This window comes from Homo sapiens, chromosome 2 (assembly GCF_000001405.40).
Source record: "Homo sapiens chromosome 2, GRCh38.p14 Primary Assembly".
Lineage (NCBI taxonomy): Eukaryota > Metazoa > Chordata > Mammalia > Primates > Hominidae > Homo > Homo sapiens.
In genome coordinates, this window is record NC_000002.12 from 135,025,450 (window position 1) to 135,050,352 (window position 24,903).

The 24,903-nt window shown below is 44.1% G+C and overlaps 1 protein-coding gene across 4 annotated transcripts in view, besides 1 other annotated feature; it reads right to left on the reverse strand.

The window, feature by feature from the left end:
- MAP3K19 (mitogen-activated protein kinase kinase kinase 19) overlaps positions 1-21,998 on the reverse strand; it is an 82,957-nt gene extending 60,959 nt beyond the window's left edge. For 2 of the 4 annotated variants that reach the window (XM_017005004.3, NM_025052.5), the window contains exons 1-3: positions 21,736-21,998; positions 14,914-15,053; positions 4,863-5,051 (exon numbers count right to left, since the gene is read on the reverse strand). The gene's annotated coding sequence lies outside the window, so the exon portion shown is untranslated. Of the gene's footprint in view, positions 1-4,862; positions 5,052-14,913; positions 15,110-21,735 lie in introns of all 4 variants that reach the window. The other 2 variants (NM_001400438.1, XM_017005005.3) reach the window with 2 other exon arrangements.
- Positions 5,507-5,707: a silencer, noted in NCBI's record as "peak3873 fragment used in MPRA reporter construct". NCBI's record gives its function as "represses an SCP1 promoter by STARR-seq MPRAs in K562 erythroleukemia cells {active_cell/tissue: K562}" and the evidence as "EXISTENCE:reporter gene assay evidence [ECO:0000049][PMID:32103011]".

Genomic DNA, 24,903 nt, shown 5'->3' on the forward strand with positions numbered 1-24,903 from the left:
ATCTCGGCTCACTGCAAGCTCTGCCTCCCGGGTTCACGCCATTCTCCTGCCTCAGCCTCCAGAGTAGCTGGGACTACAGGGGCCCGCCACCATGCCCGGCTAATTTTTTTGTATTTTTAGTAGAGACGGGGTTTCACCGTGTTAGCCAGGATGGTCTCGAACTCCTGACCTCGTGATCTGCCTGCCTCGGCCTCCCAAAGTGCTGGGATTACAGGCGTGAGCCACCGCGCCCAGCCCCCACATGGCCTTTTCATTCCTCTTTACCTGGCTTTGTGGTTGGTAAGCCCAACTGGCTGATCTTAGGACCATTTACAACAGAACAAGTCTCTTCTTATCCTCTCTATTATGACAGCACAAGTCTCTTCTTATCCTATGTTGTACTGAACCCTTGCATTAGATATCAGCTCAGAGAAATCCAAAGTTAAATGATGAGAATCCCATTAATAGATTACAGTGAGGGAAACAATGATGAAACTTGCTTTACTTATCCTATTCTAGGACAAGGAGCAAGTTGATCATGGTCTCTGTCCTAAAACATTTGAATTTGAATCTCTTCGTTGCTATGGGACAGGGTAATGTGTCATGAGCCACAGTAATATTCTCTTATGGACTTTTCTTCATCAAAGATTGTAATTCAAAAGAAATAGCATAGGACTGAGAATTGGGGTTGCCACTACCTTGATATATGGCTTTAAGCAAGCCACTTATCATATTTGCAGAGAATTCCCAACTTTGGACAAAAATTTTTATAATTATTTAAGGGTGCATAAAAACAAGTAAAGATAAACTCATTGGGGCCTCTCCTCATCTGCCTAGATTAGGGTGTCTCCAAGTGGCATACCTTGATTTCCAGTATTCTGGACCCCAATCCAGACCTACTGAACATCTCTGGGATGACGTCCAGGAATCTCCACTTTTATCAATTGGCCAAACTATTTCTCAACACTAGGCTGAAGTAGCTTCAAAATTCCCTTTTCATTCCATTATACTAACTGATCCTTTTACAATATCTTGTATTCTTGACTATAATTTTGTTCTTGAAGCTCCCTCCTCCTTTTTTTTTCAAAACAAAATTCATATGAAGTACTGAGAAAGAGCTCAGGCCATCTGTTCTTATTTGATGACAAGATAACTAAGTAACAGCTTTAGGAAACTGCAATTGTAACATAAGAGATTGCTTATTAACCCTCTTATTTAAAAAAAAAGTGCATTGTTTATCTCCTCCCTCCTAAAAGAGCATTTGACATATAGTAATTTTAAGATAACTTGAAAACACTATTATAAATTGCTTTTCAGACATTGACAGTGTTTTCTGAAATAATTAGTAATATCTTGGGGGTAGAGAGCTGGATACTCAAGAATTATTTGACATTCCCAGTAACTACCAGAACAGTAATCATTTCAAGAAATGAAACAAAGAGCCAGATATCATAAGAATAATAGGTAGCAAATTTTAGAAACTGCACATCACTTTGCAATTGTGAAGTCACTTTTATGATGATGCATGTGCATTTGGCATATATAGTAGAAAACAGCCTGTAATCTCCACAGCTTGGGAGGCCAAGATGGGAGAGCAGCTTGAGGGCAGGGGTTTGAGACCAGCATGGGCAATATAGTGGGACTCCATCTCCACAAAAAATTAAAAATTAGCCGGGCATAGTGGTATGTGCCTGTAGTTCCAGCTACTCGAGAGGCTGAGGCAGGAGGATCCATGGAGCCCAGGAGTTTGAGGTCACAGTGAGCTATGATTGCATCACTGCACTCCAGCCTAGGCAACAGAGCAAGATCCTGTATAAAAAAGAGGAAAGGAAGAAAGAAAGAGAGAGAGAGAGAAAGGAAGGAAGGAAGGAAGGAGAGGGAAAAGAAAGAGACAGAGAAATAAAGAAAGAAAGAAAGAAAGAGAGAAAGAAAGAAAGAGAGAGAGAAAGAAAGAAAAAAGAAAGAAAGAAAAGAAAGAAAGAAAAGGATGGGAGGGAGGGAGGGAAAGGGTAAAAAAGAAGCTTTGTGTCTCGGTTTACATGTGATTTCTGTAAATAACAATTGAATTGACACCCTTCAGCTGGGCTGACTAACTGCTCATATTCACGCATGATGCCTTAGGAGCTGGGACAGAACTTCCACAGGTTTGTACACTGTTAACATGTCAAGACTCTCAAACAGGTCCACATCTCTCACAGCCAGCATCAGAGGGGTCAAGCCATGTTGGTTTGGGAAATTTATATCCAGGAACTCTTCAGATGCCTTTAAAAACATGCAGCTTTATTTCTGTTGTGTTTTTACTGCATAGCTCTTTATGCTAATCTTTGCATTTTCATTGCTTGGCCAACGTTTCATTATAACTTCAATATGTTCTTTCTCAGTGTCTGTCCTGAAAGGGAACTGATGAGGTGAAAGAACACAAGCCAGAAAGACAGATCTGGGTTTCAATCTCAGCTGCTTAAGGTGGTTATTTAACTTCCCTGACAGGTTGTATCAGGGACACCCTGTTAAAAGGTGATCAAATCACCCTGATAAATTGAGGGTATCCAGTTGAATCATGTATAATTTTCATTTGGGATGTATTTATACAAAAAACTATTTGTTGTTTATCTGAAATTTAAATTTAACTGGGTGTCCTGTATTTTTATTTGCAAAATCTGGCAACCCTATTTGCTAAACTTCAGAGCCCTCAGTTGTAAGGTGGAATAGTAGCGTCTTCCTTGTAGGGTTATGTTGCTGATTGGTGCTAGAATGTAAAAAGTACTTAGCAGAGTGTCTAACACACAGTAGGTGCTCAGTAAACATTCACTGAATGAATAAATAATTTATAATAATACAGCAGCTCAGCCGGGCATGGTGGCTCACACCTGTAATCCCAGCACTTTAGAAGGCTGAGGCATGTGGATTGCTTGAGCCCAGGAGTTTGAGACCAGCCTGGGCAACATGGCAAAACCCCATCTCTACTAAAAATACAAAAAATTAGCCAGGCATGGTGGCATGCACCTGTAGTCCTGGTGACTCAGGAGGCTGAGGTGGGAGGATCACCTGAGCCTGGGAAAGTCGAGGCTGCAGTGAGCTGTGATCACGCCACTGCACTCCAGCCTTGGCAACATAGTGAGACTCTGTCTCAAAAAAAAAAAAAAAAATTTAAAAAAAACAACTAACTTACCTGTATTTACATAGTCAAATGGAGGGAGGCATATGAATGTAATTTGATGCCTTAATGAAAGTAAAACTTAATTTGGATAATTCAAAACTGAAAAGCTACCGCAGGCCAAAACACCTAAATTGTTCATTTTATAGACCAAAGAAATGCACTAATTTCCATCTCTATTTCACTTTATGCCATGTAAGTATACTCAGTGTCTCTACCTCAGCTTCTCTAGGGACAAACTAGAAATAATGGTATTACTTCAGCAGGGTACTGTGGGAATTAATTAGTTAATTTTTTTTTTTAGTCGCTAAGAAGAAACCACCTCTGATATCAATGTTTATTATTAGTTAGAACCAATATGAAAATTTTGAACTGAGAATAGTCTTGCAATAGCATATCAATTCAGCATCTGTTGATCAAGGTATAGATCCAGTTACAGGTACCAGTTTCTTAAAACTTGGTTCCTAATGTTTAGGGGTTAAAAATGTGGCTATAAAAACAGACATTGGGCCGGGCGCAGTGGCTCACGCCTGTAATCCCAGCACTTTGGGAGGCCGAGGCGGGCAGATCACAAGGTCAGGAGATCGAGACCAACCTGGCTAACATGGTGAAACCCCGTCTCTACTGAAAATACAAAAATAAAATTAGACGGGCATGGTGGCGGGCGCCTGTAGTCCCAGCTACTCCAGAGGCTGAGGTGGGAGAATGGCGTGAACCCGGGAGGTGGAGATTGCAGTGAGCCGAGATCGCGCCACTGCACTCCAGCCTGGGCGACAGAGCAAGACTGTCAAAAAAACAAATAAACAAACAAACAAAAAAACATTAGATTACAATTACAACTGCTGGAAACACCATTAAGTAAAATACATTGTCTTTCAAAAAAATTTCTAAGCCTCAGTTCGTGATGTCTGGCAATTTTAGACTATCATTTAGTCCAACAAAAGAATTTGAAGTATTGTTTGGTTTTGTTATATCTCTTCTTGAACTGTACCTGAGTGGAATATCTTTCACTTTTTTCTTTATCTGTTTGTGTCTTTACCATAAGGGATTAGAAGAAACTGTTTCCTAGCAGCAATTGATTTTCTTTCAGTTGGAAGGTCACATGGTCTGACAGTCTCTTTGAAGGTAAATGCCAAGAGTAGGCAATTGCCAGTCACCAATAATTAATGTCCTTGGTTATGCATATGATTTTGCAAGTTGCTTTGGGAAAAAGTATCTGTAAGTAGAAAATCTAAACACAAGGATCAATACCCTGAGAAGACAGCCCTTTAAAAATGTATCCTCTGAACTCTTTCATGACAACTAAATATTAGGCAAGGCATAGGCTCTCAGATTCCTTTTTCAGGATAAAGATAATAACAGCAACTGGTCCAAAGGGATCAAAGCAGCAATTGTACAAATGGCAATGATGCCAAGGGAACTCCTCTGAGCAAGTTGATAGTGGTCCTCTGGAGGCTTCCTGGGAGCAAATCATTTCCCAGGGGTGTTGTGTGACTTCTAGCACCCAGCTTGAGGAAGGTGGAAATCGACTGCTCCTGTGTTCTTTTATTATCTTGTTTTCCACCCCAGTGTCCTGTTTGATCCCCTTTCTTTTTTATATGTTTTGTCTGAAACTTCCTAGGATTATATTTGAAAAGAATTTATTTTTCTTTAAAAGGAGTCATATGTAGTCTGTGCCCTTTTCACCATCCACTCACCCACCCAAAGACAGAAACAAATATCAACTAACCAGTAAATGTTGAACTTGCTCAAGATCACCTTGCCATGAACTTTGTAGAAGTTGCATTTGGGGAGCCTGGATTCTATTGACTGCCAAGAGTTGTCTTTGGATATTGCAATTAGCTACATGAATTGCGGTTCGATTGCTGTAATTGCAAAGGGTGATATCTACTCACTTTTCCAGAAGAAATCCAACAACCTGCAAAATGACACAGTCTTAGTTAAATATTTTTAAGTACCAACAGTGTCTTCAGAGCTGGGTGGAAAACTGACTTAGGCATGGCTCTGATTCATCGGGATGTGGGTAACTGCTATTTGCCCTTTTTAATTTGGGGAACAAAAATCTCCATGACATGCATGATTTTTGGATAGTCTTTTTTGCAGGGACTAGAGATCTATGAGTATTGTATGTTAAATCCACACAAAACATTGAAGTTTTATAACTGTCTATAATCAAAAATACAAAACCAAAGGGAGCAGGCATGGTTTTGTGTGCCTGTAATCCCAGCTACTGGGAGGTTGAGGCGGGAGGATCACTTGAGCCCAGGAGTTCAAGGCCATCATGCACTATAATCCTACTGTGAATAGCCACTGCACTCTAACCTGGGCAACATAGCAAGATCCTGTCTCTAAAAAATACAAAAACAAAGATGATTCAGGCTTATATATCCTTGAATGTCACAAGTATTTCTGCAAGTGTTTCTAGAAAGAGAGTAAACTCTATTCAATATGGTGAGGGGACAGACTGCCCAGTTGCATGTTAAGAACTGTCCTTGGTGCTGAGACTGCACCAATGAACAAGACCAGCAGCCAGCCTTTAAAGTATTTGCAGTCTAGTGAAGAACAGAGACATATTTAAAAAAAAAAAAAAAGGCAATTGCAACATGGGGTGATAAATGTAACAAGAGAAGTGAATACAGGAGGATGATGGGGGCACTTCGACAAAATCTATTAAGATATCTTGGAGAGTCTGCGAAGACTTTTTGGAGAAAGTGATGTCTAAGCTGAGACCTGAGGAATCAGACTCAGCCAGGCAGACTGGGAGAAAGATTGTTCCAAGCAGAGGATACAGTGTGAATAAAGTACAGTGTGTACAAGAGGGCAAGTAATATTCAAAGCTTTGGAAGGAGTTAGGTATGTCTAGAGCCCAGAATAAGAAAAGGAAGAGAAGGAGATGTGGGTGGAGAAATCAGCTGTGCCTCAGTCCTGAAAGACCTGACAAACCCCTCTGAGGAGTTAGGGCTGTGTCTTCAGGGCAATAGGCAGACAGTGAAAGATTTTCCTCAGGAAAATGACATAATCAGGTCAGTGTTTTAGAAAATCACTCTGACTGCTGAAATAGATTGATGTGGGGAAGAAGGGAAGTGGGGAACCAGGGAGAGGACTACCACAGTGGCCTCATGGAGAGACGACAGCGACTGAACAAGAGAAATGGTAGTGGAGATTTAGTGGCTGAGGGCATAATCTAGGAACACTTAGGAGGTGGAATTAACAAAACATAGCCATTTATTCAATGTGGATGTTAACACTGAGCCAGAAATCAGGGATAATTCCAAGATACTGTCTTCAGTGTACTTTTATCTGTCTGCTGTACTGCCACGGCAGACCAGGCCACCATGGTCCCTTGTCTGAAGCAATGGAACAGCCTTCTCTCCATTTCAAGTGCTTCTGCATGAAACCCACTAGAAAGGCCCAAATCAAAAATTCAGATAACAGCAAGAGTTGGAAAGATGAGAAGAACTTGGAGCCCTCATACCACCATTTCTGCTGGTGGAAGTGTAAATGGTGCATCCACTTTGAAAAACAGTCTAGTTTGGGAGGCCAAGGTGGGTGGATCATGAGGTCAGGAGTTCAAGACCAGCCTGGCCAAGATGGTGAAACCCCATCTCTACTAAAAATACAAAAATTAGCCAGGCACAGTGGCAGGCGCCTGTAATCCCAGCTATTCGGGAGGCTGAGGCAGGAGAATTGCTTGAAACCAGGGGGCAGAGGTTGCAATGAGCTGAGATTGCACCACTGCACTCTGGCCTGGGTGACAGAGTGAGACTCTGTCTGAAAAAAAAAAAAAAAAAGAAAAGAAAAGAAAAACAGTCTGTCAGTTCCTCAAATGATTAAACATAGAACTCCCCTATGATCCAGCAATTCCACTCCTAGGTATGGTACTCAGGAGAAATGAAAACATATACTCACACCAAAATGTTTACAGAAGCATTATTCATAGTAACCAAAAGATGAAAAGAACCATTTTCTGTCAATGGATTGGATAAATAAAATGTTGTTTGTTTTTTTTTTAATTTAATTTAATTTTATTTTATTTATTTATTTTTTTTAATTGATCATTCTTGGGTGTTTCTCGCAGAGGGGGAGTTGGCAGGGTCATAGGACAATAGTGGAGGGAAGGTCAGCAGATAAACAAGTGAACAAAGGTCTCTGGTTTTCCTAGGCAGAGGACCCTGCAGCCTTCCGCAGTGTTTGTGTCCCTGGGTACTTGAGATTAGGGAGTGGTGATGATTCTTAACGAGCATGCTGCCTTCAAGCATCTGTTTAACAAAGCACATCTTGCACCGCCCTTAATCCATTTAACCCTGAGTGGACACAGCACATGTTTCAGAGAGCACAGGGTTGGGGGTAAGGTCACGGATCAACAGGATCCCAAGGCAGAAGAATTTTTCTTGGTACAGAACAGAATGAAAAGTCTCCCATGTCTACTTCTTTCTACACAGACACGGCAACCATCCGATTTCCCAATCTTTTCCCCACCTTTCCCCCCTTTCTATTCCACAAAACCGCCATTGTCATCATGGCCCGTTCTCAATGAGCTGTTGGGTACACCTCCCAGACGGGGTGGTGGCCGGGCAGAGGGGCTCCTCACATCCCAGTAGGGGCGGCCGGGCAGAGGCGCCCCTCATCTCCCAGACGAGGCGGCTGGCCGGGCGGGGGGCTGACCCCCCCACCTCCCTCCCAGACAGGGCGGCTGGCCGGGCAGAGGGGCTCCTCACCTCCCAGTAGGAGCGGCTGGGCAGAGGCGCCCCTCACCTCCCGGACGGGGCAGCTGGCCGGGTGGGGGGCTGACCCCCCCCACTGCCCTCCCGGACGGGGCGGCTGGCCGGGCAGAGGGGATCCTCACTTCCCAGTAGGGGCGGTCGGGCAGAGGCGCCCCCCACCCCCCGGACGGGGCGGCTGGCCGGGCAGAGGGGCTCCTCACTTCCCAGTAGGGGCAGCCGGGCAGAGGCGCCCCTCACCTCCCGGACGGGGCGGCTGGCGGGCGGGGGGCTGACCCCCCCACCGCCCTCCCAGACGGGGCGGCTGGCCGGGCAGAGGGGCTCCCCACCTCCCAGCAGGGGTGGCTGGGCAGAGGCGCCCCCCACCCCCCGGACGGGCGGCCGGCCGGGGGGGCTAACCCCCCCCACCTCCCTCCCGGACGGGGTGGCTGGCCGGGCAGAGGGGCTCCTCACTTCCCAGTAGGGGTGGCCGGGCAGAGGCGCCCCTCACCTCCCGGACGGGGTGGCTGGCCGGGCGGGGGGGCTGACCCCCCCACCTCCCTCCCGGACGGGGTGGCTGGCCTGGCGGGGGCTGACCCCCACCTCCCTCCCGGACGGGGTGGCTGCCGGGCGGAGACGCTCCTCACTTCCCAGACAGGGTGGCTGCCGGGCGTAGGGGCTCCTCACTTCTCAGACGGGGCGGCTGCCGGGCGGAGGGGCTCCTCACTTCTCAGACGGGGCAGTTGCCAGGCGGAGGGTCTCCTCACTTCTCAGATGGGGCGGCCGGGCAGAGATGCTCCTCACCTCCCAGACGGGGTCGCGGCCGGATGCTCTCACATCCCAGACGGGGCCGCGGGGCAGAGGCGCTCCCCACATCTCAGGCGATGGGCGGCCGGGCAGAGACGCTCCTTACTTCCTAGATGGGATGGTGGCCGGGAAGAGGTGCTCCTCACTTCCTAGATGGGATGGCGGCCGGGCAGAGACGCCCCTCACTTCCCAGACGGGATGGCGGCCGGGAAGAGGCACTCCTCACTTTCCAGACTGGGCAGCCAGGCAGAGGGGCTCCTCACGTCCCAGACGATGGGTGGCCAGGCAGAGATGCTCCTCACTTCCCAGAAGGGGTGGCGGCCGGGCAGAGGCTGCAATCTCGGCACTTTGGGAGGCCAAGGCAGGCGGCTGGGAGGTGGAGGTTGTAGCGAGCCGAGATCACGCCACTGCACTCCAGCCTGGGCACCATTGAGCACTGAGTGAACCAGACTCCGTCTGCAATCCCGGCACCTCGGGAGGCCGAGGCTGGCGGATCACTCGCGGTTAGGAGCTGGAGACCAGCCCGGCCAACACAGCGAAACCCCGTCTCCACCAAAAAAGTAAGAAAACCAGTCAGGCGTGGTGGCGCGCTACAGGCACTCGGCAGGCTGAGGCAGGAGAATCAGGCAGGGAGGTTGCAGTGAGCCGAGATGGCAGCAGTACAGTCCAGCTTCGGCTGGGCATCAGAGGGAGACCGTGGAAAGAGAGGGAGGGGGAGACCGTGGGCTGTGGGGAGAGGGGGAGGGGGAGGGGGAGGGGGAGGGGGAGGGGGAGAGGGAGAGGGAGAGGGAGAGCCAAACCCTATTTCTTGAGGGAAGCAAACCTATTATCTTTAGCCTAAAATCCCAAAATGTTGTATATCAAGAAAATGTGATATTATTTGGTTATAAAAATAAAGTATTGACACATGCTACAACATGAATGAACCTTGAAAACATTATGCTAAGTGAAAGAAGCCAATCACAGGAGACCACATACTATATGATTCCATTCATATGAAAATCCCAAATAAGAAAAGTTACAGAGGCCAAGCACGGTGGCTCACACCTGTAATCCCAGCACTTTGGGAGGCCGAAGCAGGTGGATCACTTTAGCTCAGGAGTTCAAGACCAGCCTGGGCAACTTGGTGAAACCCTGTCTCTACAAAAAATACAAAAATTAGCTGGGCATGATGGCACATGCCTGTAGTCCCAGCTACCTGGGAGGCTGAGGCAGGAGGATCACCTCAGCCCAGGAGGTAGGGCCTGCAGTGAGCTGTGATCGTGCTACTGCACTCCAGCCTGGGCAACAGAGTGAGATCCTGTCTCAAAACAAACAAACAGACAAACAAAAAACAATAAAAAAGGAACAGCTATACAAACAGAAAGTAGGTAAGTGGCTGCTTAGGGCTGGGGTGGGAGTTGGGAAGAAAGGATATAGAGTGATAGCTAAAGGATATCGGGTTTCTTTTTATCTTCTTTTTCTGGGGATGAAGTTCTTTTTGAGATGATAGGTGCTCTAAAATCAATTGTGAGGATTGCACATTAATATGAATATACAAAAAAACATGGAAGTGGCCACTTTAAGTAAGTAAATTGTATGGTATATGAATTTTATCTCAATAAAGCTGTTTTTGAAAATGGCTTTGCATGCCTTTATGGCTTTGCATGATCCAGCCCCTGCCTGCATTTCCAGCTTTATCTTGTGCCATTCTTCACCCTCCCTCTGCAAGATCAAGTCACCTTTCTATACTTCAAAAATGCAAGATTTTTTTTTCCTTTTTGAGACGGAGTTTCACTCTCGTTGCCCAGGCTGGAGTGCAATGGCACGATCTCGGCTCACTGCAACCTCCGCCTCCAGGGTTCAAGCGATTTTCCTGCCTCAGCCTCCTGAGTAGCTGGGATTACAGGCCCCCACCATGACGCCCGGCTAATTTGGTAGTTTTAGTAGAGACGGGGTTTCTCCATGTTGGTCAGGCTGGTCGCGAACTCCCAACCTCAAGTGATCCGCCCGCCTCAGCCTCCCAAAGTGCTGGGATTACAGGTTTGAGCCACTGGGCGCCTGGCCAAGATTTTTTTTTTCCTAACCAAGGCCTTTGTCTTTGCTGTTCCCTCTACCCCAATTGCCCTTCGTTTATGTCTTAGCATAAATACAACCACATCATTAAGGATTTCTTGACCACTTTCTCAAAAGACAAGCCACTCTATTGGTTACTTCAAAGTACTAATAACAATTTGTAATTTATTGAAGTGCTTCTTGTTTCCTTATTTGTTGTGTTTCACCTTCATTCAAATGTAAGTCCCCAAGAGCAAGAGATCTTATCACATGAATAAATATTTTATGAATGAGTGAATGAGTAGTTTAAGATAAATAGATAATGATGCCTTAATTTAATTCAATTTCAAATAATTAAATGTTTATTTGATTTCATAAGATGGGTAACACTGATGCTGGTGTCCCTCAGGAGGGTAAGGTTTGGGAAGAAAGATGATGAAGATAATTTTGGACATGTTATGTTTGGGATGTCTGTAATATACAAGTGGAAATATTTAGTTGGAGTTCAACATTATGTGTGTGTGTGTGTGTGTGTGTGTGTGTGTGTGTGTGTGTGTGATATGTGCTTGAGAATCAGGGGCCATCCTCACATGATTGAAGGACACCAACATTTAAGGGATGAGAAGAAACAACCCATAAAGGGGACTGGATAGAAGTTGCCAGAGAGGTAAGAAGAAAAACCAGGAGGAGGTCAAGGAAGAAAATACTTGAAGAAAAATTGGAGTCCAATGGTGCTAAGAGGTAGAAGCGGCAAAGGACATTGTAGGGAACATTGGCAAGAGCAGTTTCAATGGAGTAGTAGAGGAAGATGTCAGACTGCAGTAGTTTGAAGAGGTAAGTAAGTAGAGGCAGTGAGGATAAACCAGTAAAACATTCTTTTTTTTTTTTTTTAAGACAGAATCTCCCTCTGTTGCCCAGGCTGGAGTGCAGTGGCACTATCTTGGCTCACTGCAACCTCTGCCTCCTGGGTTCAAGCAATTCTCCGGCCTCAGCCTCTGTAGTAGCTGAGATTACAGGAACCCGCCATCATGCCCGGCTAATATTTGCATTTTTAGAAGAGATGGGGTTTCACCCATGTTGGCCAGGTTGGTCTCAAACTCCTGACCTTAGGTGATCCACCTGCCTCGGCCTCCCAAAGTGCTGGGATTACAGGCGTGAGCCATCACCTGGTTTTTGACAGCAGACCCGGATGGTTTATGTGATTTGTTCAGCTGAATGGATTCAGGACTTTGCGCAGCATTGTTGAGGTGAGTACTGTAGACTGGCCTCCTCCTGCTGCTTGGAGTTCTGTTGACAGTAGCTTTCATTGAATGTTATATGAGACAAATTGATGAATTTGGTCCCAGACTCTGTTGGTGAGATTAATCAGAGTGGCCAAGAGAGTGATGAAATAATGAGAAAGTTAATCAGATGCCAAGATAGTGTAGAAATGAGGGGTGGACATTGTTAGGAGGCATGTCTCCATGGGTCTCTTACATTTCTGCAGGTCTTGTGAGCAAAAGTGCCAAGTGTCTTTATTCCATGCAAACTTTTCAAGCTTATTTGTATAGTGAATGGCCTTGGAAGATAGAAATAGTGTCTCCTTCTGCAGCAAAGAGTAGCTTTGCTCACTGCACATTGTAAATTATTAGGGGTCTCTAAGTTGAGGGTTCCTCTGCTGTCATGCAACTCACTGCATGTTCAGGGGTCACCTGGTCCTCTTCCTATCACTCAGTGGGAATTAGGGCTTAGGGAACTAACACAAAACTGCTAAAATTCTGACTAATGCTATTGTTATGAATAAACACACTGCCCTTTTTCTCTGATCCAGTAGTTGTTTCTTCTGCTAGGAATCCAAGCAATTCTGGCACGCTAACTCATTAGCTGCGAGTAGGGTAAAATCCCAGATCCTTCATAGTTCTTGAGAGATGTCTGCGAGTGAAAGGGCCTGAGAGAGGAAAGGAAGTGGTTGCAGGAGGACATGGGATCAGGGGAGGTGTTTGCTTCTTTATGGGCTGGCAGAAGGCACTTATCTAAGCATTTTTAAATGCTGATGGAAAGAAGCATCATTGTTTGTAATGACAAGAATCTGGAGACCACCCAGATGTCCACCAGAGTAGGATAGGGAGATAAATTGTGTAGGCAGATAAATTGTGGCATATATATACATATGTGTATGTATATATTTGTATGTATATATTTATGTATGTATGTATATATGTATGTATATATGTGTATGTATATATTTAAGCTCTTTTTCCAGACCTCAAGCAATCCTCCCACCTCAGCCTCCCAAAGTGCTGGGATTACAGGCCTGAGCCACCATGACCAGCCATGTTCCTGCATAACTTGCTGCTTCTGTTCATTATCATGTTTTTGGGATTCCTCCATTTTGAAACATGAAGTGTAGCTACAGTTTTTCATTTTTAGTGCTATCTAGTGTTCCATTAGATAAAAATATATGCCACAATACAGGCACAGTGGTTCTTGCCTGTAATCCCAGCACTTTGGGTGGCCAAGGTGGGTGGATTGCCTGAGTCTGTCAGGAGCTTGGGACCAGCCTGGGCAACATGGCGAAACCCCATCTCTACTAAAAATACAAAAAATTAGCTGGACATGGTGGTGCACACCTGTAATCCCAACTACTTGGGAGACTGAGGCATGAGAATCGCTTGAGCCCAGGAGGCAGAGGTTGCTGTGAGCCGAGATCATGCCACTGAACTCCAGCCTGGGCTACCGAGTGAGACTCCATCTCAAAAAAAAAAAAGGTTATGCAAGAGCATATATAGTGTGAGTTTGTTTTTATAATATTCAATACCAGGAAAAAGCAAGTAATTACTTAGGCATGGATGCAGAGGTGGCCAGGAAATTATTAACCCAAAATTCAAGATAATGGTTAGCCAGGGTGGGGGATGCAATTCAAGACAGGCATATACAGAGAGGGCTTTTGAGGCATGGCAATGTTCTAATTTTTGGCCTGGGTGTTGGGTACACAGGTGCTTGTTTCATTAATTTTCTTTCTTTTTTTTTTTTTTTTTTTAGCATATGTGCTATATTTTATAATTTGTTTAAAAAGCATTCATGGAAAGGAGTCAAAAAAGAAAAAGAGCTTAAAACATAGTCAAGAGAGGCTAATTGAGGAAGCAAAGGTGACCAGGCAGGATTGAGGGTCCACTTGCATTTAAAGTACCAAGAACTGGCCAGGTGCAGTGGCCCATGCCTGGAATACCAGCACTTTGTGAGGCTGAGGCGTGTGGATCTCTTGAAACCAAGAGTTTGAGACCAGCCTGGGAAACATGCTGAAACCCCATGTCTCCAAAAAAAAAAAAATTAGCCGGGCATGGTGGTATGCGTCTGTAATTTCCAGCGACTTGGGAGACTGAGTTTGGAGAATCACCTGAGTCTGGGCAGGTTGAGGCTGCAGTCAGCCCAGATGGTGCCACTGTACTCCAGCCTGGTGACAGAGTGACCCTGTCTCAAAAAACAAAACAAACAAACAAAAAAACAAAGTCCCAAGAACTTATAGAGGCATCAACTTGTGCAGTTGAGTAAAATTTGTCTTTTCCAGCCTAGTTTCCCTATTCTTGCCCTTTCTATTCATGAAGCCTCCCTCTTTGCTGCCTCTCCCCAACTCTACATGCTCATATTGTTGCCACTTTTACCTGAATGCTTAAACAGAACTTTAGAAGTTATGGCACACAATGATATAACTGATGAATAAGACCCAAATGGGTTACTTTTTCATTAATGTCTCCATTTAATAAATATTTATTAACCCCTGGCTGGGTCAGGCTCTCTGCTGGTAGCTGGAGATACAGCTAGAACAAAGAGGACAAAGTCTGCTGCCCTTTTAAGCCTTATTATTCACGTATTTACCCCTGTTTCCCTACTTCCAGGTTTACGTGCATTTGTTAGAGCAAAGCATAAATTTCCAGGTACTGATGGAGTTGAGGGTCCATCATGTGGCGCCATTAGACCATTAGCTCCTCGGGGGTGGCATCTGTGTTTGATTCACATCCAGATCCACCATAAAATCTAGTGATCACCTTGGATATAGCAGGAATATTTGTGGACCGAGTGAGGAAATGAATAGAGATGGTTCCTATCTAGATTTACAGTATCCACCTCCCCATACCCCACTTTGTGTCTTCAGACATTCTTTCATGGCAATGGGTGATATCACTATTCACAAATATCTCACTCTCAGAATCCTTAGTTTGGAAGACTTTTTATCCTTGAGCCCAGCATGCCACATGTTACCTCTGTTAGATTTTCCTCTGCTGCAGTAATGAGAGGCGTATTCCACGTCTCTGGGTGCTGAAAGTCAAGGTTTCCGAGGATGGATTGGACTTCGGTAATATAGTCACAGATGAGTTCCACATCACCTCTTGAAACCACTTCTAGGAAATAATGAATCAGTTTATTTTTATTCATCTTGCTAGTTCCACATGATTGCCTTGAAAAGGAACGATTTAATTATATGAGAGCCAGCAAAGCTGTGAGTGGTTCAAATGTAACATATTCTGCCTTTACTGCCACCTGTTTCCTTCTTTTATGTATAAAATTCTTATAACAGTTTTAAAGACAATTTTGAAAATAGGGGGAAATGCCGCAATACCACCAGGCTTGGTTCTTTGTGTACATGCTGAATTAGGAAGAATAATAATTTCACCATTATTTTGGAAGATCTGCTGTGGTAGAGGAGAAGAGAGGATGTATCCACAGTAGAATGGAAACAGCACAAGCTTGGAGCCCAGTAGAACCTGGATTTAAATTCCTTCTCCACAGATTACCAACTGTGTGACCACGACCATATGGCTTATCTCTGGGCTGCATTTACTTATCTCTAAAATGGAAATGATTGTCCCCTCTTCAGAAGGTTGGTAAGGATCTGAAATATGATCTACAGAGGGTTGGCACATTCTACAGGTGAAAATTCTTGTTGGTTTTTTTTTTTAGCTTGTTTATTAACCACCTTATACGTATTTCCTTTCTGAAAGTCCTAGCTTCCCAACAATACTATAAGCTCCTCAATAGCAGGGACATTACATGACTTATCCTTTTGTCTCCTCTGTGATTCTAGCACAGTGGGAATCATTAAGGAGCACAGTGCCCACTGTTCTGGATTTTCCGGAAAGCCCTAATTTTAAATAACTCATATCAGTTTTCCAAATCATTGAAATATCTCAAATTGCAATTTTGGAGGTCACCGAACTACCCTCTCCTGCATGGAACCTTTTTTTTTTTTTTAATTTTGAGATAGAGTCTCACTCTCTCGCCCAGGCTAGAGGGCTGTGTCACGATCTTGGCTCACTGCAACCTCTGCCTCCTGGGTTCAAGCGATTCTCCTGCCTCAGTCTCCTGAGTAGCTGGGACTACTGGTGCGCCACCATGCCTGGCTAATTTTTGTAGTTTTTGGTAGAGACGAGTTGGCCAGGCTGGTCTCGAATTCCTGACCTCAGGTGATCTGCCCACTTTGGCCTCCCAAAGTGCTGGGATTACAGGCGTGAGCCACCGCACCCAGCCTGGAGTCTCTTGCTGTTAGTAACAGCACGACATCCTTTGTCAGGCTCTATACTCCAACTTCTGCTTCTGACACTACAGTCACTGTATGTAGCCACATGCTATTGATTCGATGTGCAATTTCCTTGCTATAATCTGGCATGAGATTGAAAGCAAAAGAACAAGAGGCTCATTTCATAGTATAAGTTTGTGGAGGATAGCTAAGAAAAACAAACAAGAAAAAGTCTAGATTTGCTCTTTAATGTTCTAAACACACAAATACCTTCAGAATTCATGGGCCAGACTACGTGAACATGTACAGAAACACAGAGAACATGTGTTCTGTTCTAGAAATAGTACTCTAGAACATGTACTATTTCACTCTAGAAATAGTACTAGCCCATGAATTCAGCCATTCATTAGGAAGATGCTATATGCCCTTCAGCAGCTTTCATTGACCAGTCCCAATAAACATAACACAAAATAGGTTAGATAAAATACAAGAAAGAACACACGTGATTAAGTGTCCATGTAAACATCAGATAATGAATCTTACAGATGTCAGAGAAATGGGCTGGCCATGTGATCTGGAAGATCCCCTTGAAAGAAGGCATTCATTGCCAGGTAGTGGCTCACGCCTGTAATCCCAGCACTTTGGGAGGCCGAGGCGGGCGGATCACGAGGTCAGGAGATTGAGACCATTCTGGCTAACACGGTGAAATCCCGTCGCTACTAAAAGTACAAAACATTAGCTGGGCATGGTGGCGGGCGCCTGTAGTCCCAGCTACTCTGGAGGCTGAGGCAGGAGAATGGCGTGAACCCAGGAGGCGGAGCTTGCAGTGAGCTGAGATCGCGCCACTGCACTCCAGCCTGGGCGACAGAGCGAGACTCTGTCTCAAAAAAAAAAAAAAAAAAGAAAAAAGAAAATTAAAAAGAAAAAAGAAAGAAGGCATTCGTGATATCTGGAGAGTCACAGTGAAGGAGAATGGGCAGCTCTGATGAAGGACAGGCATGAACTCAGGCCTCTATCTGGGGCCGAGGAGGAGAGAGTAAAACCAGATGGGAATTTACCCTGGATTCCCCAACACATCGGGAAGCCCATGGAGAGCTTTCAGCAGTGCGTTTTAGGAACATTGGTACTTTAGTAAGATTATTATGATGCAGAGGAAAAAGGCAGAAACAAAAATTTGAATGTGGCTGGGCATGGTGGCTCACGCCTGTAATCCCAGCACTTTGGGAGGCCGAGGGGAGGGGATCACCTGAGTTCGGGAGTTCAAGACCAGCTGGGCCAACATGGTGAAGCCTTGTCTCTACTAAAAAATACAAACATTACCCGGGTGTGGTGGCGCGCACCTGTAATCCCAGCTACTCAGGAGGCAGAGGCAGAAGAATCACTTGAACCCAGGAGGCACAGGTTGCAGTGAGCCGAGATCAAACCACTGCGCTCCAGCCTGGGCAACAGAGCGAGACTCCATCTCAAAAAACAATAACAACAACAAAATTTGAATGTGAGGGTTCACAGGATTTGTGACTGATTGACCATAGACAATGAAAAGGTCCAAGAGGTTGGGGTCCAGGAACTAAGGGAGGACCCACTACTGGGCAGGTGATTCCTTTTACAGAAAGACAATAGATGAGGTCAGCAGCAGAGCCAGTATGTAAACAAGTGTGTGTGGTTGGTGTTCTTGGCTTTCAAAGAAATGGTGGCCTTAGCTCAGTGCAGTTTCCTGAACTTGCTTGAACATAAACATTTCCTTGTTATAAAGATTCCAAGTTTCCTTTAGTAGATCTGGGATGAGCCTGGCGACTCTCTTTCTTTGAAAGAGATTTTTAATAGACTTTTAAAAATTGACTTTATTACTTAGAGCAGTTTTAAGTTTTTTATGCAAAATTGGGCAGAAAGTACAGAATATTCCCTCTCCACTGCCCCCTACTGGCCTCGCCATCAACAGCCTGCACCAGAGTAGTACATTTGTTAACAATAGATGAACTTACAAACAGTATTATCACCCAAAGTCCATAGTGTAAATTAGGGTTCACTCTTGGTGTTGTACATTCTATGGGTTAGGACAAAGGTATAATGACATGCATCCACCATTTTAGAAGGTACAGAATAGTTCCATGGCCCTAAAACTCCCCTGTGTTCTGCCCATTCATTCCTCCCTCCTCACTAACCCTGGGCAACTGGTGATCTTTTTATTTCTCTGGGAGGCTCCCAATCAGTTGCCACATTAAAAGGCAACTTCTAGAAACACAGATCTTGTGATTAGAATTGAATCCACAATCTTTCTTGCAATCCACTTTGTTTTCTAATTGACATTTATCATTACTACCTGTTACTCCTTTTGATTTAAACTTGCTAGAATAGATATTAGTTTCCCCTTCAAATTTCTAGCAGAATACTTTGAAATAGTGAATGAATTCCTCAAGTCTTTATCTACCTTTGTTCAAAGTGAAGTTACATAATAATAACAATAATACAACAACAGCAATCATGCCCAACATTTATTGAATGCTTGCTACGTGTCATATGCTTTTCTAAATGGTTTACAGGTGTTTGTTCTATTTAATTCCAAATAACACCATCAGAACAGTTGTATTATTATCCCTATTCTATAGATGAGGAAAATGAAGCACAGACATTGGCAAAATGGTATCTCACTCCAGAGAGATGAGAGTGCTACTGCCCAAAAAGATGTAATGGAGCCAGGCGCAGTGGCTCATACTTGTAATCCCAGCACTTTGGGAGGCCGATGTGGGTGGATCACCCGAGGTCAGGAGTTCGAGACCAACTTGGCCAACGTGGTGAAACCCCATCTGTACTAAAAATACAAAATTAGCCAGGCATGGTGGTGCATGCCTGTAATACAAGCTACTTGGGAGGCTGAGGCAGGAGAATCACTTGAACCTGGGAGGCAGAGGTTGCAGTGAGCTGAGATTGCACCATTGCACTCCAGCCTGGGCAACAAGAGTGAAACTCCATCTCAAACAAACAATGACAACAAAAAAGATGTAATGGAACTAGTATTTAAAGGCACATTTGCAGAATAGTCTTATTTCCGTTTTCATGTTTGGACCTTAGCTAGATGGGGATGAGCTCATCATTACTCCTTGCTAGCCACACTGGATGGTGTCAGGCTTTCCTCTTGTTTTATTTTTTCCCTTCAGCTCTGATCCCCTCTGCCTGATAAGAACCCAATCTAATGTGCCTGAGAGGTATCCTCAATAAGTGTATATCCTTATAAGGCATGTAGTGCTGTTATATTACATTGGTTTTTAATTTACACAAATAATATTGTACTCTAGATCTTGTTAATTATTTGTTAACACTTTGCTTTTTAAGCTTTATCCTTGTACTTATATGTACAAGGTTTTTGGTTTTATGTTCACCGTATTTTATTACTCCCTTAGTGATGGACATCTAAGTTGTCCACTCCACAAACAACACTGTGATAAACATCCTTGTTTGGACCTTATTATGCACCCTGTAAACGTTTCTCTGGGGCAAGTGGGTCGAATGGATTTAATTTCACAAAGTACTGCCAGATTGTCCTCCAGAATGGCTGTATCAATTTACACTCCCACCAGTAATGCCTAACAGTTTTCTTTAAGCTCTTTTAAGAGAAGCAGACGTTTAGTTGATTGCTGTCACTTAATCATCATTATCTTAATCATTAGCATTTAATAAGCAGTGTACTTGGAACCTTACTAAGGGCGGAAGGGGCAGATGATATACTCAAAATCAGGACACAGAAATAATTAAAACCAATACACACATCTGTCCCAGTAAATTGCTTTGTAACTTAGATTTACATACTTGTTTTTGAAAATGCAACAGTATTTGCAGGATCATTTCAGGGGGAAAAAAGGTTTTCCGAAACAAAGGATAATTAAAACTTGTCTTTCAATAAAGCTAAAAATCAGATATTCAAATAACAACTAGGCAAGAAATAGATATTTATATCACACTTTATTCATAAAGTACTAATAAAACTTCAAACATTTTTCCCCCAAGGTTATTACCTAGCAATGTTATGGAGTTGTAATTTAACTTTTTAATGTGACCCTTAAGGGAGAGCATTTCATAAGTAGTATCTATCATCTAAAATAAAACAAAAAAATTTAGATTTAACTAAACTACAATCCCAAAATTATCAAATCAAATCACTGCAATACCGGGTAATGTGGTCATTATTTGGCCATTTATTGTCTCACATACTCAATAGAGACTGGAGGAAGACAATGAAGATGGAATGAGCACATAGCATTATCCCTATATGCAGGTCATTCTTTTAGTTAACATGCACAGACCATGGCTTTTAAAAATTATTTTTATTAGAGATGGGGTCTCACTCTCTCATCCAGGCTGGAGTACAGCAGCTTGATCATAGCTCACTGCAGCCTCAAACTCCTAGGTTTAAGGGATCCTCCCACCTCAGCCTCCCAGATAACTAGGGCTACAGGTGCACAGCACTATGCCCCGCTAGTTATTTTTATGTTTTATTTTTGTAGAGACAGAGTCTCACTATGTTGCCCAGGCTTAGTCACAAACCCACAGTGCTTTTTATTATTGAGCTCTATTTCCTCTTCCAACCTTCAATCTGTACATGTCCATTTTAGGTTTTTTTCATAAGAAAATATTTCTCAATTTTCCATTTAGAATTGTTGTTGTTATTGTTGTTGTTGTTGTTGTTACAGAGTCTCCCTCTATCGCCCAGACTGGAGTACAGTGGCACAATCTCGGTTCACTGCAACCTCCGCCTCCTAGGTTCAAACAATTCTCCTGCCTCAGCCTCCCAAGTAGCTGGGATTACAGGCACCTGCCACCTTGCCGGCTAATTTTTGTATTTTAGTAGAGACAGGGTTTCACCATGTTGGGCAGGCTGGTCTCGAACTCCTGACCTCAGGTCATCCACCCTCCTTGGCCTCCCAAAGTGCTAGGATTACGGGCATGAGCCACCATGCCCGCCCCATTTAGAACTGTTTTGGTCAATGATTTTTGAGGAATAGTGTTTCATTCCACAGAGGTTTTTAGTTTAGCATCTATTAAAACCCAGTCTTTTTTATTTTTAATTGCATGCATGGTTTATCTATTTGTAAAACCAAAACCTTTTGTTATAGTGTACATTTGATTTAGAACCTTATGCAATAAAGATTTAAAGCAACAGAAATCTCATTTCATGTTGAGAAAGCATGGTTAAGAACATATGTATACAATATTGATTGGTTACAAGAAGATTCATACCATGTAAAGTTTACACATATTTGGGTGATTAAACTAAAAGATTACCCCTAGGTATAATTCAATGAAGGCAAGTGTTTTTCATACACTTTTCTTGTCATTAGTAATTTAGCCTATGGTCTAGAGGTGCCTGCATAAGTATTGGAGGAAATCGTCACAATATTTGAAAAGTAAAAAATAGTTTATTACAACTCCAAGGATATTATTATTTGAGATTAGGACACAGTTTCTTCTATCAGTTTACCAGGCATTCCTCCTCTGGGACATCCTTTGGGGAGTAAAAAAGTTGCAACATACAGTTTATCTAAAATGAGATGAAAAGCAGAGATTCGGCTTACCTGTGCTGTGTTTTGCTGAGGGACGTGGCACACAGTTGAAGAAACACCAAGCCAAACAGTAGCCAACATCATCCTAATTCATTGTGGCACTGATTTCTGGGACAGCTGTAACCCACACTTCAACCAGGGATCCATTTAAAAACAGCATAGATTCAGATTTTTTTTTCAGTGTTGTACAGCCCAAATAATTTTTCCTTTTAAATTTTGTCTTTAATTAAGCTGGTCCTGCATGCACAAACCCTTTAGTTAGCTGCAAATAGACTGCTTAGTTTACAGGTTGTCTCCTAGGCAACCATCCACTGTGCATTTAGCTTAGAGAATTGAAAGCAGGACAGTCTCATCCAGGAAGGAAAACAAGTTTTGTATGCTCTTCCAAGTTGTTGCTTAAGTGCTTTAAAACTACCAAACCCCTATGTACTTCCATGGTTGGCACAATTACTGTGATCACCTGATGCACTGAGACTTTCTCTAAGAGATCCATGCCTTTGTAATCCCCACAAGGTGCCAGAAGGGCCCCTTTCAAAGCTGCATATAGGTCACAGAGTGAGAATCCAATCGATTACCACCAAACTGATTGCATTCTTAGACTCAGCCTTGAGAAAGCGCTAGCAGACAGAAATCCTTACATTACAACATACTTCTTCTCTAGATATGCTTGTGATATTCTGAAGCAAAAGCTTCAGTAAACAGACTGCATTTTTGTCTGAGTCCAGTGGTAATAAACCCAACTGCAAAAGACTTCAAATCATGGACTATGAAAACATAATCATGAGGAAGTGGACACAGGGCACTCCATAAGGTCACCCGGCATTTGTGTGCTGCTAAATTCTTTTCTGCCACTTACCAAAGGATGCAGGGGTTTCTCTTCTAAGGTAGGGCGTAACATTATATATTCTCAACTGAATGGGGTACGATATTCTATCGCAATAACAACAGCTGACATTTATTGACTAGTTCCTACGTTAGTCCATAAAGGACATGATTAATGTCATTTAACCCTCATAACAACTCTATGGAGTTGAAACAATAAACAGCATCATTGCCACGTTACAGAAGATGACACTGAGGCTTAGAACTTTTGAGCTAATGAATGGTGGAGCTAGGGATTGAACCTAAGCGGCCTGGCCACAATGTTGCAATACTACCTTTACCATGCGCAAGCACGTACACACACACACACACACACACACTCTCTCTCTCTCTCTCTCTCTCTCTCTCCTTTAGTGGATGAAGACTTCAGGGTAAAAACCATTCAGAGATTGTTAGATCTACGTAAACTCCCTCATTACCAATTCAACTTCAAGCTGCTTGACACCAATTTAAGCACACACAGGCTATTACTCTGTTTTGCTTCCTATGCTCTACTTTGCTTCTACTCCCATCAAGGTGAGTACTCTCTCAGCCTAACAGAGGAAGGTGCAAGTACCGTAGTTTCTGACTTTTAGGATTTCTGCCAGGTTATCCTAGGGTTCCAGCTTGTCTGCAATCCATGAATCTTTAAATTGGCTTCTCAAAAAGTAATCCTGGCCAGATGTGGTGGCTCACACCTGTAATCCTAGCACTCTGGGAGGTTGAGGTGGGTGGATCACCTTAGGTCAGGAGTTCCAGACCAGCCTGGCCAACATGGTGAAACCCCATCTCTACCAAAAATAAAAAAATTAGGCCAGGCGTGGTGGCTCACACCTGTAATCCCAGCACTTTGGGAGGCTGAGGTGGGTGGATCACGAGGTCAGGAGTTCGAGACCATCTTGGCTAACACGGTGAAACCCCGTCTCTACTGAAAATACAAAAAAAATAACCGGGTGTGGTGGCAGGCGCCTGTAGTCCCAGCTACTCGGGAGGCTGAGTCAGGATAATGGCGTGAACCTGGGAGGCGGAGCTTGCAGTGAGCCGAGATCGCACCACTGCACTCCAGCCTGGGCGACTGAGCAAGACTCCATCTCAAAAAAAAAAATTAGCCGGGTGTGGTGGCTAGTGCCTGTAATCCCAGCTACTCGGGAGGCTGAGGCAGAATTGCTTTGAACCCAGGAGGCGGAGGTTACAGTGAGTCGGGATTGTGCCACTGCACTCCAGCCTGGGTGACAGAGTGAGCAAGACTCCGTTCCCACCCCCCCCAAAAAATGTAATCTTCTGGCTATGCGCAGTGGCTCACGCCTGTAATCCCAGCACTTTGGGAGGCCAAGGTAGGAGGATTGCTTGAGCTTAGTTGTTTGAGACCAGCCTGAGCAACATAGTGAGACCATGTCTCTGCAAAAAATAGAAAAAATTGCTGGACGTGGTGGTGGGCACCTGTAGTTTCAGCTACTCAGGAGTCTGAGGCAGGAGGATTGGTTGAGTCCAAGAGTTTGAGGCTGCAGTGAGCTATGATCATGCCACTTCACTCCAGCCTGGGAAACAGAAAGACATCCTGTCTTTAAACAAAAAAGGAATCCTCCTTTTGTCTCTCATTTTGAGATAGAGTCATTCAAACCATTCTCTTTTTCAAGAAACTCAATGTTTAGAAATAGTGGAGGGATAGGCATACAAAACAAGGACAATATCAGGCTGCCCTAGGGCTGTGTCAAAAGCTCTAAGGAAGCATGGAAGGGGAGTGTCTGACTTCCTGGGTTGAGGGTGGGGGATGTATGTTTGCCTAGGGCTGCTTGAACAAAATGCCACAGACTGGAAGGCTTAAACAACAAAAATTTATTTGCTCACAGGGCTGGGCGCCGTGGTTCACACCTGTAATCCCAGCACTCTGGGAGGCCGAGGAGGGTTGATCACCTGAGGTCAGGAGTTTGAGACCAGTCTGGCCAATAAGGTGAAATGCTGTCTCTACTAAAAATACAAAAATTAGCTGGATGTGGTGGCACATGCCTGTAATCCCAGCTACTCAGAAGGCTGAGGCTGGAAAATTGCTTGAATCTGGCAGGTGAACGTTGCAGTGAGCCAAGATCTCACCACTGCATTCCAGCCTGGGTGACAGAGCAAGACTCCATCTCAAAAAAATATTTTTTTATTTGCTCACAGCTCTGAAGACTAGAAGCCCACGACCAAGGTATCAGCAGGTTGGGTTTCTCCTGAGGCCTCTCTCCTTGGTTTGCAGGTGGCCACCTACTCTCTGTGTCCCCACATGGCCTTTCCTCTGTGTGTGCACATCCCTGGTGTCCTAATCTCTTCTCATAAGGA